This window comes from Homo sapiens, chromosome 8 (assembly GCF_000001405.40).
Source record: "Homo sapiens chromosome 8, GRCh38.p14 Primary Assembly".
Lineage (NCBI taxonomy): Eukaryota > Metazoa > Chordata > Mammalia > Primates > Hominidae > Homo > Homo sapiens.
The window spans coordinates 10,918,967-10,940,439 of record NC_000008.11 but is presented as its reverse complement, the minus strand read 5'-3'; the positions used below and the strand labels follow the sequence as shown (position 1 = coordinate 10,940,439).

General features: G+C 48.4%; 1 protein-coding gene across 2 annotated transcripts in view, besides 2 other annotated features; it reads left to right on the top strand.

Moving 5' to 3' along the window:
* The window catches only part of XKR6 (XK related 6), a 305,789-nt gene that overhangs the window by 261,394 nt on the left and 22,922 nt on the right, over positions 1 to 21,473 (top strand). For both annotated transcript variants that reach the window (NM_173683.4, XM_024447129.2), the window contains exon 2: positions 15,610 to 15,806. In NM_173683.4, coding sequence (NP_775954.2) covers positions 15,610 to 15,806 — 197 coding nt within the window. The remainder of the gene's footprint in view (positions 1 to 15,609; positions 15,807 to 21,473) is intronic.
* Positions 2,298 to 2,949: an enhancer, noted in NCBI's record as "H3K27ac-H3K4me1 hESC enhancer chr8:10795001-10795652 (GRCh37/hg19 assembly coordinates)". NCBI's record gives its function as "activates a minimal SCP1, AML or CMV promoter by ChIP-STARR-seq in primed H9 embryonic stem cells {active_cell/tissue: H9 hESC(primed)}" and the evidence as "EXISTENCE:reporter gene assay evidence [ECO:0000049][PMID:30033119]".
* Positions 11,379 to 12,073: an enhancer, noted in NCBI's record as "H3K4me1 hESC enhancer chr8:10785877-10786571 (GRCh37/hg19 assembly coordinates)". NCBI's record gives its function as "activates a minimal SCP1, AML or CMV promoter by ChIP-STARR-seq in naive H9 embryonic stem cells {active_cell/tissue: H9 hESC(naive)}" and the evidence as "EXISTENCE:reporter gene assay evidence [ECO:0000049][PMID:30033119]".

The following is a 21,473-nucleotide window of genomic DNA, read 5'->3' as shown; positions in this document are numbered from 1 at the left end:
GGGCTGCAGCCCTCCTGGTTTGGCACATGGGCTCTGGAGGGAATGCTGTAGGTTGTCCACAGTGACTACTGCGGGCCCTGAACCTGGAGCCCTGAAGGCATGAGCTATGTGGCATTCTCGAATGTTGACCAAGGAGGAAAGCTAAGTAACTTACAGTGAGAGTCCTGTGAGTGTGGTGCCCAGACCTGCTTTGTTCCTGCTCATGATGCCACCTCTCAGCTTAGGCACTTCCCTCCCTCCCCGTCTCTCCCTCTCCCTTCCTCCATTTCTTTCTTTCACTAATGTGGGTCCAGGGCACACCATGTGCCAGGCGCTCTGCTACATGAGGGGCCATGCCAGTGACCAGCACAGACATGGTCCTGCCCACTAGGCCCTCCCTGGAAAGGTGCACATTGCATTACACGTCGACGCAGGATTTCTCGCAAACACTCCAGGTGCTTCTCAGGTGCAGCCAGGATTGACACCCCTTGTGCTACGATGTGCACACTCAGGGGACACACCTGGGGGAGGGGGAGGCTGGCTGCTGTGGACCCCCGAAGCCCAGGGAGAAGCTGGAGATGCACAATGAAGAGCAGTTCTCCCAAGGACGCCTGACAACCTCCTAGGCAGCAGGGCCCAGCCCCTGGCCTTGGGAATGTCTTCTGAGGACAGCTCTGCATTGCTCACAGTGCCCAGGAGGCCTGAAGGTGGGCGAGGCCCCTGGTCTCTGGTCGAAAGCAGAGCTCTGCATTAGGGCAGGAATTTCAAGAACCCAGCGACTTAGGGGAAGCTTTACGAACCAGCCTGGAGTCTTAGGCCCCTTCTGCGTGACCACCACTCCCAGGTGGGATACAAGCGCTCATAGAATCAGGTTTCTGAATAAGCCGCTTGAGGGGTGAGAGCTAGAGATTGCTAAGGCCACTGGGTGCAGGTCAGGTGCCCAAGTAGGCAGTGAGGTCACCCCTCTCAGGAGCTGGCTTGTCCCCAGGGGCCTGGGTCTCTAGGATAGGACTGTGGGAGCAGCTGTCCCTTAAATCCTGGTGATCCCCACCCATTTGTTCCTCGAGCAGGTCAGCGTAGCCTTGGGAAGTCATCAGTAGAGTGTTCCTCTCAGTCACTGGTCCTTGGGGCCAGGCCCAAAGAGACATTCGTTAGGAGGGAGAGAAGCAGGAACTGTGGTGGGCGGGCCTGGATTCTTCTCTGCCAGGGCTCTTCCTGCCCTTCCTTCCTTCCTTCTTGCCTGGTTGGGCCGGTCAGCTGTTTACTGGGGAGCGGAAGTTCTGAAGCCCTCATACTTGCTTGTGCTGGGAGTGAAGTTTCCTTTGGGCCTTTCCATCCAGGGTTTGTGAGCTCATTCCTTCCAGAAGGCTGCAGAAGCAGGTCCTGGGAGAAGCAGGTCCTGGGAGAAGCAGGAAAAGGTCCTTGCAGATAGTGTTCGGGGACAGATGGATTTCTTGCGGCCCCACTGAAGCTTAAGCTTTAGGGCCCCTCACTTTTATGGGCCTCTAATGGGACCCTGTACTCAATTTTGAATAAGTAATTTTGTATTCTTTTTCTTTACATTTTTTAAAAATTTAAGATTCTTTTTTGGACAATTTTGTAAATTAACATTTACATAGAGTAAAATTGACTTGTATGTGTGTTTGTAGAGGTCTTTGAGTTTCAGTGCATACGCGGATTCACATAGTCACCACCATAATCAGCTCACAGGACAGTTCCACCACCCCAGAACACTCTCCCATGTGCCCACTTTTAAGCAAATCATGCCTTAATTTCACTCCCTGGGAACTACCAATCTGTTCTCCATCCCTCTGGCCTTGCAGAATATCATATAAGTGGAATCACACTGTATATAACTATCGAGACAGACTTCACTCCTTTAGGATAATGCCTTGGAGATTCATCCAGGTTGTTGTGTGTGTCAGTGGTTTGTTCCTTTTTATTCCTGAGTAGTATTCCACAGTATGGATTACCATAATTGTTTATATATTCACCTGCGGAAGGATAGTAGGCAAGTATGAAAAGAACTGCTGGGGGGAGGAGCCAAGATGGCCGAATAGGAACAGCTCCGCTCTACAGCTCCCAGCGTGAGCGATGCAGAAGACGGGGGATTTCTGCATTTCCATCTGAGGTACCGGGTTCATCTCACTAGGGAGTGCCAGACAGTGGGCGCAGGCCAGTGGGTGCGCGCACCGTGCGCGAGCCGAAGCAGGGCGAGGCATTGTCTCACCTGGGAAGCGCAAGGGGTCAGGGAGTTCCCTTTCCGAGTCAAAGAAAGGGGTGACAGACGCACCTGCAAAATCGGGTCACTCCCACCCGAATATTGCGCTTTTCAGACCGGCTTAAAAAACGGCGCATCACGAGACTATATCCCACACTTGGCTCGGAGGGTCCTACGCCCACGGAGTCTCGCTGATTGCTGGCACAGCAGTCTGAGATCAAACTGCAAGGCGGCAGCGAGGCTGGGGGAGGGGCGCCCGCCATTGCTCAGGCTTGCTTAGGTAAACAAAGCAGCCGGGAAGCTCGAACTGGGTGGAGCCCACCACAGCTCAAGGAGGCCTGCCTGCCTCTGTAGGCTCCACCTCTGGGGGCAGGGCACAGACAAACGAAAAGACAGCAGTAATCTCTGCAGACTTAAATGTCCCTGTCTGACAGCTTTGAAGAGAGCAGTGGTTCTCCCAGCACGCAGCTGGAGATCTGAGAACGGGCAGACTGCCTCCTCAAGTGGGTCCCTGACCCCTGACCCCCGAGCAGCCTAACTGGGAGGCACCCCCCAGCAGGGGCACACTGACACCTCACACGGCAGGGTATTCCAACAGACCTGCAGCTGAGGGTGCTGTCTGTTAGAAGGAAAACTAACAAACAGAAAGGACATCCACACCGAAAACCCATCTGTACATCACCATCATCAAAGACCAAAAGTAGATAAAACCACAAAGATGGGGAAAAAACAGAACAGAAAAACTGGAAACTCTAAAACGCAGAGCGCCTCTCCTCCTCCAAAGGAATGCAGTTCCTCACCAGCAACGGAACAAAGCTGGATGGAGAATGACTTTGACAAGCTGAGAGAAGAAGGCTTCAGACGATCAAATTACTCTGAGCTACGGGAGGACATTCAAACCAAAGGCAAAGAAGTTGAAAACTTTGAAAAAAATTTAGAAGTATGTATAACTAGAATAACCAATACAGAGAAGTGCTTAAAGGAGCTGATGGAGCTGAAAACCAAGGCTCGAGAACTACGTGAAGAATGCAGAAGCCTCAGGAGCCGATGCGATCAACTGGAAGAAAGGGTATCAGCGATGGAAGATGAAATGAATGAAATGAAGCGAGAAGGGAAGTTTAGAGAAAAAAGAATAAAAAGAAATGAGCAAAGCCTCCAAGAAATATGGGACTATGTGAAAAGACCAAATCTACGTCTGATTGGTGTACCTGAAAGTGATGCAGAGAATGGAACCAAGTTGGAAAACACTCTGCAGGATATTATCCAGGAGAACTTCCCCAATCTAGCAAGGCAGGCCAACGTTCAGATTCAGGAAATACAGAGAACGCCACAAAGATACTCCTCGAGAAGAGCAACTCCAAGACACATAATTGTCAGATTCACCAAAGTTGAAATGAAGGAAAAAATGTTAAGGGCAGCCAGAGAGAAAGGTCGGGTTACCCTCAAAGGGAAGCCCATCAGACTAACAGCGGATCTCTCGGCAGAAACCCTACAAACCAGAAGAGAGTGGGGGCCAATATTCAACATTCTTAAAGAAAAGAATTTTCAACCCAGAATTTCATATCCAGCCAAACTAAGCTTCATAAGTGAAGGAGAAATAAAATACTTTACAGACAAGCAAATGCTGAGAGATTTTGTCACCACCAGGCCTGCCCTAAAAGAGCTCCTGAAGGAAGCGCTAAACATGGAAAGGAACAACCGGTACCAGCCGCTGCAAAATCATGCCAAAATGTAAAGACCATCGAGACTAGGAAGAAACTGCATCAACTAACGAGCAAAATCACCAGCTAACATCATAATGACAGGATCAAATTCACACATAACAATATTAACTTTAAATGTAAATGGACTAAATTCTCCAATTAAAAGACACAGACTGGCAAGTTGGATAAAGAGTCAAGACCCATCAGTGTGCTGTATTCAGGAAACCCATCTCACGTGCAGAGACACACATAGGCTCAAAATAAAAGGATGGAGAAAGATCTACCAAGCAAATGGAAAACAAAAAAAGGCAGGGGTTGCAATCCTACTCTCTGATAAAACAGACTTTAAACCAACAAAGATCAAAAGAGACAAAGAAGGCCATTACATAATGGTAAAGGGATCAATTCAACAAGAGGAGCTAACTATCCTAAATATATATGCACCCAACACAGGAGCACCCAGATTCATAAAGCAAGTCCTGAGTGACCTACAAAGAGACTTAGACTCCCACACATTAATAATGGGAGAGTTTAACACCCCACTGTCAACATTAGACAGATCAACGAGACAGAAAGTCAACAAGGATACCCAGGAATTGAACTCAGCTCTGCACCAAGTGGACCTAATAGACATCTACAGAACTCTCCACCCCAAATCAACAGAATATACATTTTTTTCAGCACCACACCACACCTATTCCAAAATTGACCACATACTTGGAAGTAAAGCTCTCCTCAGCAAATGTAAAAGAACAGAAATTATAACAAACTATCTCTCAGACCACAGTGCAATCAAACTAGAACTCAGGATTAAGAATCTCACTCAAAGCCGCTCAACTACATGGAAACTGAACAACGTGCTCCTGAATGACTACTGGGTACATAACAAAATGAAGGCAGAAATAAAGATGTTCTTTGAAACCAATGAGAACAAAGACACAACATACCAGAATCTCTGGGATGCATTCAAAGCAGTGTGTAGAGGGAAATTTATAGCACTAAATGCCCACAAGAGAAAGCAGGAAAGATCCAAAATTGACACCCTAACATCACAATTAAAAGAACTAGAAAAGCAAGAGCAAACACATTCAAAAGCTAGCAGAAGGCAAGAAATAACTAAAATCACAGCAGAACTGAAGGAAATAGAGACACAAAAAACCCTTCAAAAAATCAATGAATCCAGGAGCTGGTTTTTTGAAAGGATCAACAAAATTGAATGACCGCTAGCAAGACTAATAAAGAAAAAAAGAGAGAAGAATCAAATAGACACAATAAAAAATGATAAAGGGGATATCACCACTGATCCCACAGAAATACAAACTACCATCAGAGAATACTACAAACACCTCTACGCAAATAAACTAGAAAATCTAGAAGAAATGGATAAATTCCTCGACACATACACTCTCCCAAGACTAAACCAGGAAGAAGTTGAATCTGTGAATAGACCAATAACAGGAGCTGAAATTGTGGCAATAATCAATAGTTTACCAACCAAAAAGAGTCCAGGACCAGATGGATTCACAGCCGAATTCTACCAGAGGTACAAGGAGGAACTGGTACCATTCCTTCTGAAACTATTCCAATCAATAGAAAAAGAGGGAATCCTCCCTAACTCATTTTATGAGGCCAGCGTCATTCTGATACCAAAGCCGGGCAGAGACACAACGAAAAAAGAGAATTTTAGACCAATATCCCTGATGAACATTGATGCAAAAATCCTCAATAAAATACTGGCAAACCTAATCCAGCAGCACATCAAAAAGCTTATCCACCATGATCAAGTGGGCTTCATCCCTGGGATGCAAGGCTGGTTCAATATACGCAAATCAATAAATGTAATCCAGCATATAAACAGAGCCAAAGACAAAAACCACATGATTATCTCAATAGATGCAGAAAAAGCCTTTGACAAAATTCAACAACCCTTCATGCTAAAAACTCTCAATAAATTAGGTATTGATGGGACGTATTTCAAAATAATAAGAGCTATCTATGACAAACTCACAGCCAATATCATACTGAATGGGCAAAAACTGGAAGCATTCCCTTTGAAAACTGGCGCAAGACAGGGATGCCCTCTCTCACCGCTCCTATTCAACATAGTGTTGGAAGTTCTGGCCAGGGCAATCAGGCAGGAGAAGGAAATAAAGGGTATTCAATTAGGAAAAGAGGAAGTCAAATTGTCCCTGTTTGCAGACGACATGATTGTTTATCTAGAAAACCCCATCGTCTCAGCCCAAAATCTCCTTAAGCTGATAAGCAACTTCAGCAAAGTCTCAGGATACAAAATCAATGTACAAAAATCACAAGCATTCTTATACACCAACAACAGACAAACAGAGAGCCAAATCATGAGTGAACTCCCATTCACAATTGCTTCAAAGAGAATAAAATACCTAGGAATCCAACTTACAAGGGATGTGAAGGACCTCTTCAAGGAGAACTACAAACCACTGCTCAAGGAAATAAAAGAGGATACAAACAAATGGAAGAACATTCCATGCTCATGGGTAGGAAGAATCAATATCGTGAAAATGGCCATACTGCCCAAGGTAATTTACAGATTCAATGCCATCCCCATCAAGCTACCAATGACTTTCTTCACAGAATTGGAAAAAACTACTTTGAAGTTCATATGGAACCAAAAAAGAGCCCGCATCGCCAAGTCAATCCTAAGCCAAAAGAACAAAGCTGGAGGCATCACACTACCTGACTTCAAACTATACTACAAGGCTACAGTCACCAAAACAGCATGGTACTGGTACCAAAACAGAGATATAGATCAATGGAACAGAATAGAGCCCTCAGAAATAACGCCGCTTACCTACAACTATCTGATCTTTGACAAACCTGAGAAAAACAAGCAATGGGGAAAGGATTCCCTATTTAATAAATGGTGCTAGGAAAACTGGCTAGCCATATGTAGAAAGCTGAAACTGGATCCCTTCCTTACACCTTATACAAAAATCAATTCAAGATGGATTAAAGATTTAAACGTTAGACCTAAAACCATAAAAACCCTAGAAGAAAACCTAGGCATTACCACTCAGGACATAGGCGTGGGCAAGGACTTCATGTCCAAAACACCAAAAGCAATGGCAACCAAAGCCAAAATTGACAAATGGGATCTAATTAAACTAAAGAGCTTCTGCACAGCAGAAGAAACTACCATCAGAGTGAACAGGCAACCTACAACATGGGAGAAAATTTTCGCAACCTACTCATCTGACAAAGGGCTAATATCCAGAATCTACAATGAACTCAAACAAATTTACAAGAAAAAAAGAAACAACCCCATCAAAAAGTGGGCGAGGGACATGAACAGACACTTCTCAAAAGAAGACATTTATGCAGCCAAAAAACACATGAAAAAATGCTCATCATCACTGGCCATCAGAGAAATGCAAATCAAAACCACTATGAGATATCATCTCACACCAGTTAGAATGGCAATCATTAAAAAGTCAGGAAATAGGAACACTTTTACACTGTTGGTGGGACTGTAAACTAGTTCAACCGTTGTGGAAGTCAGTGTGGGGATTCCTCAGGGATCTAGAACTAGAAATACCATTTGACCCAGGCATCCCATTACTGGGTATATACCCAAATGACTATAAATCATGCTGCTATAAAGACACATGCACACGTATGTTTATTGCGGCATTATTCACAATAGCAAAGACTTGGAACCAACCCAAATGTCCAACAATGATAGACTGGATTAAGAAAATGTGGCACATATACACCATGGAATACTATGCAGCCATAAAAAATGATGAGTTCATGTCCTTTGTAGGGACATGGATGAAATTGGAAATCATCATTCTCAGTAAACTATCGCCAGAACAAAAAACCAAACACCGCATATTCTCACTCATAGGTGGGAATTGAACAGTGAGATCACATGGACACATGAAGGGGAATATCACACTCTGGGGACTGTGGTGGGGTGGGGGGAGGGGGGAGGGATAGCATTGGGAGATATACCTAAGGCTAGATGACGAGTTAGTGGGTGCAGCGCACCGGCATGGCACATGTATACATATGTAACTAACCTGCACGATGTGCACATGTACCCTAAAATTTAAAGTATAATAAAAAAAAAAAAGAAAAAGAAAATAACTGCTAAAACATTTGTGCACACATTTTTGTGTGGACATAAGTCTTCATTTCTAGAATACCTAGAAAGGGAACTATGGGTCATATGTGGAGAGTATGTTTAACTTTATGAGAGACTGTCCACTGTTTTCCAGAGTGTCAGAAGCATTTGCATTCCCACTGCAATATATGAGCATTCTAGTTGCTCTGTATTCGTGACAGCACTTGATAGTGTCAGTGTTTTTATTTAGCCATTTTAACAGATATGAAGTACTATCTCATTGTGGGGTTTTTTTCACTGTGATTTTAATATACATTTCCCTATTTACTTGTAACGTTGAGCTCCCTTCTCCCCATGTTTATTTGCTATTGTGTATCCTCTTTGGTAAAATATCTGTTCAAATCTTGTGCCCATTTAAAAAATTGGATTGTTTTTTTCTAGTGAGCTTTAAGAGTTCTTTGTTTATTCTAGCTACAAGTTCTTTGTCTGATATGTGATTTGCAAATATTTTCTCCCAATCTGTAGCTTGTCTTTTCATTCTCTTAACAATGTCATTCACAGAGCAAAAGCTTTTAATTTTGATAAAGTTTATCTTTTTTGTTTTTTTTATGGATCATGCCTTTGCTGTCATTTAAGAACTCTTTGTCTGATACAAGGTACAGAACCACTCCTGCAGTTTCTTCTTAAAGTTTTATGGTTTTACACGTTAACCTATGATACATTTTAAGTTAGTTGTTGCATATGAATGACTTATTATTACTACATCATTTGTTGAAAAGACTATCAACATTGAATTGTCTTTATCCCTTTGTAAAAAACCAATTGGCCATAATTATATGGGTCTTCTTCCGGACTCTTCTGTTCTGCTGATCTATGTTTCTCTCTTGGCCAATGCTACACTGTGCTGTAGCTTTATAGTAAATCCTAAAATCGAGTAGTGTGAGTTCTTCAAATTTATTCACTTTTAGAATTGTTTTGACTATTCTAGTTTCATATAAATTTTAGAATTGGCTTGTCTGTATTTAAAAAAAAATTCCACTTGGGTTTTTATTGGAACTGTGTTACATCTGTAGATTAATTTGAGGGCAATTGTCATCTTACTATATTGCATCTTCCAATCCCTGAACATGGTATGTCTCTGTATCATTTAGGTTTTCTTTGATTTCTTTTATTAGCATCTTGCAGCTGTGGCATACAAATCCTGCATGTTTCAGTAGATTTGTCTCTAAGAATTTCATTTTCGGAGCTAATTTAAGTGGTATATATTTTTAATTTTTAAATTTTCAATTATTCATTAATCATTTATAGAAACGCAATTGACTTTTACAGGCTGACCCTGTATTGTGATACCTTGCTAAATTAACTAATTATTTATATGAGCTTCTTGCTTAGGATTGCTTAGGATTTTCAATCTAGACAATCATGTCATTTACAAATAGGGACAGTTTTACCTCTTCCTTTGCAATCTGCATATACTTTCTGTATTTATTTTTCTTGACTTACTGCACTGAACAGGACTTCTAGTATGATGTTGAATAGGAGTGGTGTGTGTAGACATCATAACCCTGTTCTTGATCTTAAGACAAAAGCATTCAGTCTTTTATCATTAAGGAAGATAACTGGGAGTTTCCATAAATGCCCTTTATCTACATAAGGTTAAGGAAGTTCCCTTCTATTTCTAGTTTGCTGAGAAAATTAATGGATGTTGAATTGTGTTACCTTTTACTTCTGTATCAATTGTTATGATGTGTGGTTATTAATGTCATAGATTACATTGATTGATTTTTGAATATTGGACCAGCCTTTCATTCCCAGGATAAACCCCAGTTGGTTCTGGTACATTGTTCTTTCCATATATTACTGGATTTAATTTGCTAATATTTTGTTGAAGATTTTTGCATCTATGTTTATGGGAGATGTTGTCTGTAGTTTTATTTGCTTGTACTGTGTTTGACTGGCTTTTGTATCAGAGTAATGCCGGCCTCATAAAATGAATAGGGAAGTGTTTCTTCCTTTTTTATTTTCTGGAAAAGATTGTGTACAGTTGGTGCAATTTCTACTCTGTTTGGTAGAATTTACCATTTTCCTTAAAGAAGGGTTCTCTAAGCCTCAGACCCCACAAAACATGAGCTTACCCCTGTTTGGGGCTTTGAAGGTGGTTTGTTATCCACAATCAGAGATTTCAGTGCTGTTTCTGACAGTGTCATAAGAAGCAGCTGGAGACTGTGGGCCCAGATAGGTGAATGTTTAGCCCCCTGCCCCTTGTAGAAATCACTTATTTTCTACCCCAGCCAGTCTTGGGCAGAGCCATAGCCAACCTCAGAGGGGCAACATAGTTTGGACGAGACCTTCTCTGATTTTCCTGAACCATGACTGACGGTGTGGCTTCAGGGAAGTCACTTAGTCTTTCTGAGCCTCAGACGAGCCAGCAGGAAAAAGAAGATGACAACCGTGTCTCCCTCAGAAAGCTGTGCTCAGAGGACTAGATACTTCTGCTGGAGGGAACAGGAGCTTTAAACAATTCCATGGCTTACAAAGTAAGGAAAGGAGATAGAACTAGAAAGATATAAGCAGAGTGGGCTGGAGGGAACACAGGAACAGGGCACCTCAGGGAGCAGTAATGGCTGCCATCTGCATGGTGACTTCTAACCTCCTGTCTGTGCTCACAGGCATGGTCTTATTTAAGGCCCCTGTGACCCTCTGAGGGGGCACTATGGTATGCATTCATTCGTCCATCATGTCCTGGGTTCTACTCTGGTCTAGGCATTTTATACATGAGGAAACTAAGGCTCAGAGAAGTTAGGAAATGTCCCTCAAGGTAACACAGCCAGGTGGCAGAGCTGGAAGGGAGCCCAGGTGTTTTGGGCAAACTCCTTTCTTCCCCACTGTCAGGCAAGTTGGACTGAGTTCAGAAGTAAGGAGACACATGGTCTACCTCTGGGAGGTGCGTGGGCAGGAGCAGTCAACAGCACTGGCCCCAAAGCCAGACTGCCTGGGCTTGAAGCCCTGCTCAGCTACTTAGCTGGGAAGAGCAAGGCGAATGTTTTAACCTCAGTGCTTCAGTTTGCTGTCTGTAAAATGAATATTGGTAGGTAATACTGCACCTGTAAAATGAATAATTAGTAGGTAATATTGCAGCTACCTCATAGGGGTGTTGTGAGGATTAAATGAGGTAATATGTGCCAAATGCCCATAATAGAGCCTGGCACAAGTGAATGTCACACAAACATGAGGCATTATTGTTTATAAAGATGCTAGGCCATCCTTTGTGCTCTGTGAGGTCACTCACCTGAAGAAAGACAAAGTTATAAGATGTTGACAGAGGCTTGGAGATCCCTCCTGCCTGCCCCTCCTGTGATGGGAATAGCGGGGCCCAGCCATGGGAGGTGACTTGCTCAAGACTGGCCATTCCCGCAGACCATAGACCAGGCCCAGCTTTCTTGAGACTGTGCTCCATGAGGACACGTGGCGTTGCTGCTTTCACCCCCGTGTATTTCATGATCCGAGGCTCTTAGGGCAGATATGGCGTGACAGGAGGTGACACCGACTTTGGGAGCAAGTCCGGGAGAAGAGTTGGTGTCTTCTCTCCCAAGAGATACCTTCCTGGAGAACGGTGCGGTAAGCTTTCTGGAACCCGCCTGGAAGGTGGAGAAGGAGGGGGCTTGGAGGAATGGCAGCCAATCCTGAGTCTCCTGCCTTGGTTCCCCCCTCGGAGCGCACCTCTGGGCTTGCACTCCGCGCCCTGGCAGAAGAGGGCGCGGGCCTGTGGGATGAGATCACTTGCCTGGAGCGGCGTTTCCGCGACGCTTAGGGTCTGGCGCCACCGTGTGGCCGCGGGTCGAGGCCGCTTCTGCAGAGGGGATGGGAGACTCTGCAGGAGGCGGCTGGCAGCGCAGCCTCAGAGGTCACCCAGGAGCTCCGGATTTTACACACAGGAAACTGAGATCCCGAGGGAGAGCAGCGCTGGCCCAGGGGTTTAGGGGGGACATGGCTTATGCCTTCCTCCCACCCCACCCATCTGCCTCGTTGTTTCTTGGCAGCTCCTTAGATCTTGAGGGAGACAGACACCAGGTAAAGCTAGGAGGAGGAAGAATCCTAGAGCCTCGAGGACAGCAGCAGCCGCGTGATCGCAGGAGCTGCCAGGATCCTCCTGCATGAGAGGCAAGGGCTTTGCACGTGTTGTGGTGGACAAGCAAGGTCATGGGGTCAGGCCTGGATTCTGGTCCCGTCCGGGCCCCACAGCACTGAGTGACTGAGGCGGCAGTGGCTTGCGTTCTGGCACCTGGGCCCTCCACTATAAAGTGGGGGTTGGACTAGACCTCCAGGGTCCAGACCTAATTATATTGCAAACCAGTACCCCTCGGTTGTGTACTGTGGACCCAAGGACTTAAGAGTAGCAGAGGAGGGACCGAGCCGGGAGCAGTTGGAAAGGATGAGCATTTGCATTGAGGCTTGGCTGTCAGGAACTCCTGGGCAGGGCTGTGATCAGTCCCTACTACAGTCCCAGAGGTGCCTGTGCGGGTGACCCAGGAGGCACCATGCTGTCCAAACGGTTTTGCCTGGACTCTAGTGCCCTCTAGGCCCCAACGTCTGCTTGCTAATTGGCTCAGGGAGGAGTGGCACCCTCTTTGCCTACATCCACCCTGGCTCTTCCCACACCCTGGGGTGCTCACACCCAGGAGAGCATCAAGATTGGCTCCTCCTGGCAGGCATCCCAGTTGAATTGGTGTATTCTGGGCTTGTTGTTTTCCTTTGCCCCGGCCTTGGTGGGCAGAGGGGCCTGTGGCTTTGGGAGAATGTGGCGTGGAAGGGTAGAACTGGTGCTCCCTTTGCCTGGTAGGGCAAACCTGGGTGAACCTGAGCACTGGCATTACTGACCTGGGACCCAGATGGATAGGGTTAGTGCTGCCATATAACCGTTCCTCCAGCTGCTGGGCCACCTGTGAGGCTGGAAGAAGCAGAGTCTGTAGTCTGAGTACCCCTGAGACCATTAGGTTTGCGGTCTGGGGCCTGGAGTGATCTGTGGCTCATGGCTTGTGTGCTGCAGGTGCCACCTGTTGAGAGAGCCGGGTTTGGGTCACAGGGGGCAGCTCTGATCTGGGAGACACACGGCACTGAGGCTCCACTCAGCACACAGCTCTCCTAGACATGGGTGCCAAAGATCTGGGCACGCAGCCCTGCCTCGGTGCTTCAGCTGGAGCATTCATGTCCCCTGATGCCCTGCCTCCCCGCACTGCCATCACGGTTGATCAGCCTGGCCCTTCTATCACCCTCCATCAGGGGCTCACCCTCAGCCCCTCCCAAACTACCGATGATGACATCTGCTTCCAGGAACCTCGCTGCACACATTTCTTGCTGCCATCATCTCTTCCAGGCAGTCCTCTCCTCAGACCCCCAAGTTTGACACTGCTCCCTTCACCTTTGCTTTCCCCTTCAGCTCCCTCCTACTTCTGTGTCTCTCCGTGTGTGTCTGTCTCACTGTCTATCTCTATGTCTCTGCCTCTATCTCTCTGGGTCTCTCCCTCCCCCTCTCTTAGTGACTGTGAGCTCTGAGACTAGGTGCAACCTCCCCCTTCCTCTTCCTGAGCCTCTTCCCTGGTTCCTTGATTTTGTGAACTCACGGGCAGGGGCCCAGAGCAAGGCAACACCTAGTGGAAATGCCACAGTCAGCAGGTGGCAGAACCTTGAACAGAACCAGAATTTGGTGGTTTATTTCATGCTAGAGCCTCAGTTTCCCCATGTGTTGAATGGTGATAACCAGACCTGACCCGCAAGGTGGGCCAGGGACCCCAAGAGACTGTATACCTGGAAGGACCTGGCCTGGGGGGCCTGGTGCCCCAACCTTCCTCCCATATCCCTCCCTGATGGGGCCATCATTGCAATGCCAGCCTCACTCTGGTTGTCAGTAAGATTGCATCTCTGCTCACCACAGGGGGTGGGTCTGGAGAGAAATGAGGCATCCATTGCAGCTTCCCTGGCTGGGTGCCTTCAGGATCCAGGCCCCCAAAGGGCCTTAGGAATCTAGAGAGAAGCCGGGCACCCCTCATCAGTTGGTGAGCGGGGCTTACTGCACCTGGCATGTGTGTTTGAGGTCACCCTTGTGGCTTAGTAGCGGCGTGAAGAATGGGTTGTTCTGGGGTAAGAGTAGACAGTGGAGGACCAGTGAGGAGACTCCAGCATCCCTCCAGGCAAAAGGGGCAGTGGCTGGGAGCCAGCTGGTGTTGTGGCAGTGACAGAACAGACCATCCGGCAGCCCTGAGTGTGTTCTTGGTAATACCTGAGGCCAGCTGGGCCTGGATAGGGTGTCAGCCATGCACTGAATCTTTAGGAGTCAGGCTCAGCATTTCAAAGGGCACAGTAGTGGGTCCTAGAATGTCCATCCCACAGGACAGTCAAGGACAGGCATGTGGTTCTCTCCCACTGCCGCTGGCACCCAGTTTACGGTTCCTGTTTTTGATCCTGACTGGGCCCACAGAGCTGTGCACTGTGGCCCTTGCTTCTGGGTGAGCCCTGTCCACAACCTCTACCCTGGCCCAGACTTGGAGCCTGTTGGCTGAGTTTGGATGGTGCCTTAAGTCCTTCTCTTGCCTTGGAGACACAGTTCCAGAGAGTTCCGGTGAAATTGAGGCTGGGGTTATTATATGACCTGGGGAGATGCCGACTGTGCATATCATCTCACTAATCTTCCCATGCACCCTGCGATGCTCTCATTCTGTCCCCATATGAAAGATGAGTGACAAGGACACAGAGCTGGAATAACTAGTTCAAGATCCCCCACTTAGCAAGTGATGAGTCAGGCCTGCTTGACCTGTGAACCTTGCTCTTCCCCCTACCTGCTTCCTTGGCCCCTCAGCCCTCCCACACAGAGCCCGGGAGTGGTCCTGAGAGGGCGGGCAGCGGATCTGCTCCTGTGTCCTGGGCCCTGCTGGGACGGAGACTCCATGGCAGGCCCTGGGTCCCCCTGATGTCCAGGGAGGGTGTCCAGTGGCCTGGATGTGATCCCTACTTGTTCCACTATCCGGCGACAGGAGCCTGTGCAGTGGGGGTGACCTTTCTGAGCCCACGCTGTTTCCTGTCTGTATCATGTGAGAACCATACCCTCCTACTTACCACCTGGGCATGGCCAGCCAGCGAATGGCACGTAGTAGGAGCTTCAGAAATGTTCACCCGCTTCCCTTCCTTTCCTCCTCCAGAACAACAGAGGTGATAACCTTGCTGGATTGTTTCCCCCCGGGGTCCTGAACCTGAAAGCCCACCCCTGTCCCGGAGCTCACCTGAGATGCCTACCTGCAGGCCCTGGCAGGGCATCTGGCCCCACAGTCTCATCTTCCAGATGAGCAAATGGGAGACCAGGAGGAGGAAGACCTGCCTAGGGGTCCACGAGGGGTCAAATCCTTTCCTGACCTGCCCCGCCCCTCCCCCATGCCTCAGCATCATGTCCTTTTGCCGGGAGCCCCCCAGAGCCCCGTCCAAGCCTCTGGGAACTTCAGAGCATAGGGAGTTGGGGGGATGCTGAGTCTCTTGGTTTTAGGGGGATGGCAAGGGTCCTCTGGAGCCCCTGCACCCACCCATGCTCTCTGTGTTCTCCCCATCTCTCTGGGCAGGTATATCCGCACCATGTACCTGGGGATTCAGAGCCAGCGGCGGAAGGAACACCAGCGACGCTTCTACTGGGCTATGATGTATGAATATGCAGACGTCAACATGCTGCGCCTCCTGGAGACCTTCCTGGAGAGCGCGCCCCAACTGGTGCTACAGCTCTACATCATGCTCCAGAAGAACAGCGCCGAGACCCTGCCCTGTGAGTGCCCGCCGGCCGCGCCCCGCCACCCCGGCCTGCCCTCCACCTGGGGACCACGGCCGCCTCCCACACACTTCGTGCCTGGCACGCTCTGTGGGCATTGCCCATCCTGCCCTGAGTCCCCAGGACGCCCGGCCCCCAGTGCAGTGCTGACGGGGCCCACACCACACTCAAGAGCTGCACAGGCATGTTCTGAATGTATGTGGGCTGGCTTGGCACCTCCAGGCCACTTCGTCCATGTGAGCAGAGCAGAGCCAGCCGGGTAGAGGGCTCTGGGTCTCCCCATCAGGGGCAGTGGCCCCTGTCCTTGGGTGCTGACCTGAGCCAGGCATTTGCACATCTATGGGAGGGGAAGCCACAGACCAGAGATAGCGTGGGACCACAAGGGGCCGTCATATTGGGCAGCACTAATGGTTTCAGACCCTTTAAACTGTGGTGCTCTTGCTTCAAACCAAGCTCATGTGTAAGCCCCATTTGTAAAGCAGCTTAAGTAGCTCTGTTCAAGTTCCAGCAGGGGAGAGGGCCCAGGAGGAGGAGGGGCTGGAAGCAACAACACATGGGGTGACATTTGAAGGGATGTCATGGGCAAGAAGGATCATCCCAAAGTGTAGAAGTTGCAGGGAGATGCTTATCCATTCAACAAGTGAGAGACAGTCCATGGAGCCATGCATGAACTGTCTTGGGAGGTACGGAGTTTATCATCAACTGGAGTATTCAAGGCAAGAAGTTGCTGAAGAGACTCAGCCCAGAAGTTCCTGACTGCAGAGCGCTCAGTGAGCGTGTGTAATCTGGGTAGCCAGGCAGCCATGAGGAGGGGTCTGCCGTCCATACCCCAGCTCTCCCTGGCCAGCAGTACCTCCTGGTCTCTTGTATTCTCACCTCCAGACCCCGCAGGTCCTCTTGGTGCCCCAGGAGGCCCTCCGTGTCACCACGTTCATGGACACCCACACGGACCTCCTCACCAATGTGGTCTGGCAAGAACAGCCACGCTGCCCCAGGCCTTTCTCTAAACAGATGTGCCTCCTTACTTTTTCCAAGCTGGCCCTCTGTAGGCTCCAATCCCCCTAGGTACTTAGGCAAAAAGGGGATTTAATCTTCAAAAGCCAGTGGAAGACTGAGCTGTTCAGGCTAGTAGCTTGCTGGTGGCATTCAAAGCCTGGGGACCTGGTTATGAACCCAGATGTGCTGCTGACAGGCTCGCCTGTCCTATACAAACTCGGCTCAGGTGAAGCCTCATGTCCCATCTACTGAACCAGAACAGCCCTCAATGGAGGCTGTCTGGTAGAAAAAGGGGCCCCAGGGTATCTGTCCATCCCACAAAATGCTGGCTGCAGTCCTGCTGGTCCATCACAGAAGCAAGGAAAAGGGGCCGTGTGACCCTTGGAATGGACACAGGGAAAGCCAGGCCTGAGACCCACACTGAGCTGAGGGACCAGTTCCGCCCTTTGACAAGGCTTCAGGAAGCATAAGCTGCATGCTCAAGGCAGCCACAACCTCTGTTTTCTGGGCACCCACAGAAGCAGGAGGGGTATGGGGATCTTCAGCAGGTGCTGCCAGTGGGGTGACACCAGCCAACATCTGCCCTTGGGCATCTGCAGTCCTCACTGTCAGGAAGAGGCCCCAGGTGGCCCAGGGGCTCCAGCTTCTTGGAGTGACAGCCCAGCTGGTGCCTACAGGATGAGCAACCGTGGCCTAGAGAGGAGAGCTGGAAGGAGCCAACTTGATGTCCGGCTCCAGCTGGGACATGCAGAAGCTAAGCAGGAGGCCTCGAGGAGGATGGCAGGGCTGACCACTCATCTGATCCCTCCCTTCTTTCTTGGACACACCCACATGCACACATACTCTCTCCTGGGCACTGAGAAGAGCTTGGGAACACAGGGAAACCTTGGTGATGCTCCATCTTCAGGATGCCTGAGGACCCAGGCTGTATGCTTGGCAACGAACTGGTGTGATTGGCTGCCCACAGCTGCGGCCATGGGAGTCCCTGCCTCACAGGATCGCTGAGAAAACACATGGTGTGAGCATGGACAACATGCAGCAGTTTGAACAACATCATTTGTTCTCAGTGCCAGGAGACTCACATGATGATTGATTCTGGAGCAAGACCAGCATCATAGGGATGTCTTTGAAATGCGCATTCTTGCTCTAGAAACCTACCCATAAAGGAGCTCTGTGGAAGTGAGCACTGAGCCTGGGTAGCAGCTCCTGGTGCCAGGATGTGCTGCCGACTGGCAGGGCAATGTCCGGTTCCCTGGTGAGGCCTCCATATCCAACCTGCCCTCAGATCCCAGGGCTACTGCCCCACAGCCCAGGGCAACAGTGCTCTCATGGGCAGATTTGCTGGCACTGGAGAGGGACACCTTTCTCTCCCATCTGAGTCCTTCTTTTTCTCAAAATGAACTCAGCTGCTGTCTGAGACTTCAGCTTAGCCCATTTGTGCTACTATAACAAAATGCCTGAGAGTGAATAATTTATAAAGAGCAGAGATTTATTTTCTCCCAGTTCTGGAGGCTGGGAAGTCCAAGATCAAGGTGCCTGCAGGTTCAGCTGCCTAATGAGGGCTGCATCCCCTGGAAGGGAAGAACACTGTGTTCTTACATGGCAGAGGGCAGAAGGACAAGCTAGCTGCATGCTGTATGAAGCCTCTTTTGTAAGGCCCTCAATCCCATTCGCTAGAGAGGAGTCCTTATGGCCTGATCACCTCTCAAAGGTCCCACCTCGTAATCCTATCACACTGGCAACATCTGAACTTTGGAGGGGACACCTTCAAACCATAGCAGACTCTGTTTATTTAAACTGCCTTTTGCTGTTTCAATTTCAAATCTTCCCCACTCTGTACCACCAGGGCTGCCAAGTTATGCCTCCTCTCATCTTTTCCTCTTCCAACCTTTGGCCAGATCTTGACACCCCAAACAGATAGGGCAGGTAGCAGGGTGGTAGACAGATGGGCTCCTGATGGGGCATTTGAAATCCAAGGACCTGGTCACCACTTATACCCTCTTGTGATTTTGGACCTTCATCTTTTCACAATCCCGTTTTCTCTTTGGTATACTGGAAGAAAGAAGAATAATACCTAATTTTCAGTGGGGATGCAATGATATAATGCACAAGAGAGCACTTTGTAAACTTTCAAACTCCACGGGCACATAAGGGGCTGTGTTTATCATTTCCAGGGCCAGGTGGAGTCATCCTTTTATAGGGCTCTGACGGTCACCTCCCCATCCTCATGGTACCACCCGCCATGGGCCAGACCTGCTGGGGATGGGTTTGCAAAGACGCCTATCCTTCAGGAGTTTATGGGCTGGCATGGGCCAGGTCCTAGGGAGATTTCTCTCCCTTTCTGGCCCTCTGGATCATCTGTGTCCCAGCCTCCTTGTTATGCCTGTCCTTTCTATGATAGTTTCTCAGATTATAAACAGAAAGGGCTGGGCACCAAATCTCTGGAGAGAAAAGCCAGTGGGGATTCCCAAGGGGCAATGGATGTTGCTTCCTAAATGTCCTCTCATGTGGGAGCCCACTGGGGCCAGGGTCTGTGCAAGGACAGGGGCCACTTGGGCATGCTGCCAAGAGCAGACCCCTTGGAAAAGGAGCTGGGAGTGACCCAGTGTCATGCTGCTCTTGGGCCTTCACCCCAGGGAAGCCCCTCCTGTGTCCTCCTCCCTGCAATCCCCTGTTTTTGTGCTAGAAACTGGGAGGTCTGGTGAGCATTTCCCCAGGTTTGTTTGGGATGTGGAATGGGTGTTTCTCAATACAGCCTTTTGTGGTTAAATATATTTGGGACCTGTTGGACTAAACAAAGGCCAGTGGCCATCCTTGTCATTGGATTGTGGATCTCTAAGCCAAGAATGAGGCTATAGCATCAGCTGGGTTTACGGGAAGGAAGGACACTAGCCATCACTGAGCACGGGCTGCCTGTAAGGGGCTTGGCATTTCTCTCTTACTTAACTTCTAGAGTCGTGTCCTCATCACGAGACAATTTTGTTATGCCAGTAGATGCCATTCCAATCTTTTTAAGCTGCAGGAAATGTACAAGCCTTAAAGAAAATCAGTTTAGTCATCAGAAATTGGAAGAGGGCAGAGAAAATGTGTGGACTTGGAACAGACCTGTTGGTGGCATGGCCTCTCCCAGTCACATGGGTGCCTGGAGGGTCGCAGCGTAGAAAGCTGGGGTGACTCCCACCTGTTACTTGACAGTTGTTTGACATTAGGCAAGTTACTGAGCATGTCTGTTCCTCATTTTTCTCATTTCTAAAATGGGGATAATGCTAGTACCTATCATAGAGAGTTGTTATGAGCATGAAACATCATGACAAATGTGAAGTGCCTTGTAAGATATCTGGCTGTTTTCTTGGTGGTTGTAGTGGTTCTTTTATTGTAGATGGACCTTCTGAATTCGCCTTCAGGCTTTACTGGTGAGACCTGTGGCTCACCGACCTTGCTTTGGTGGGCTTTACAATGACTCTTGTCCACTGTATACCATTAGGGCTAGTAGATGCTTGGAAAGATCACTATGACTACCACTTTAATAGGTGAGTTTTGCATGGATTTGCCAATGCCAGTCTCTCCCTCCCTTGCCATCTCTCCACCCTCTGTTTCTCTCTAATCACTGGGCTAAGAGAACAATATTCAGCCTGCAAGACACACTTATAATCCAATTTCCCTATAAATACAGACTCAAGGGAAATAATAGTAATATATCATACAATTATTATGCTGGAGTCATTTGGACATTTCTGCAGGGTCTTCCTTAAGCCTGATGTCTTGAAAGTTTAAGTAAACAGAAGAACAAATAAATGACGGGAGCACATAATTCTGACATGTCACATTTATGCCGGTGGTGAGTCTTGTGTCTGCTAAGGCTCCGCTCCTGTTCTGGGTTGTGAAAGGGTTGGAAAAGCAGTCCAGTGCAGTAGGAAAAGTCAGACAGGGCTGCATGCAGATTCCAGCTCTGCCATGTATTGACCTTATGGCACCAGGCAAGTTACTTTCCTAAGTTTCCTCATCTGTAAATTAGGAATAACAAGTACTTTTTGGGTTGTTGCAAAGGTCTAATGAGCTCCACATGCACCTCCACAGTGCATCACCTGGCATATTCTGGGTACATGATACTCTCTGCCACTCAACAAAGATGTGTTACCCAGGAGCCATGCTATGTGTGGAGGAACAATGGGGAGCATAACAGGCATAATCCATGCTGTCATGAATTTCCCATTCTGTCTGGGGACACAGCACAAAAACAATTAGACAACGCGTGATGGTTAGAGTATTGAAGCAGACAACTGGTTGGGGTTGGAGAAAGCCCACTTTAGGCAGGGGGTCAGGAAAAGCCCCTCCAGAGAGCTGCCAGTTAAGCTGAGTACAAATGATGAGCAGGAACCAACTTGGGAAGAAAAGAGACAGCCTTCTGGGCAATGGGAGTAGCTTGCACAAAGGCCCTGAGGGAAGGAAAGCCTGACTTGTTCCAAAAAGTGAAAGGACCCAGCATGACTGGAGCTTGGCAGTTGGGGTGAGAGAGGATGGAGAGAAAGGCAGGGCCCCAATTGGGAAAAGCATAGGGGACCCCAGGAGCTTGGATTTATTCCAAGGGCAGTGGGAGGGGCTGCAGAGGAAAAGCACACCGCCAGGCTTGCTTTTGAAGAAGGTCCCTTTTCTTTCACACAGGGAGGG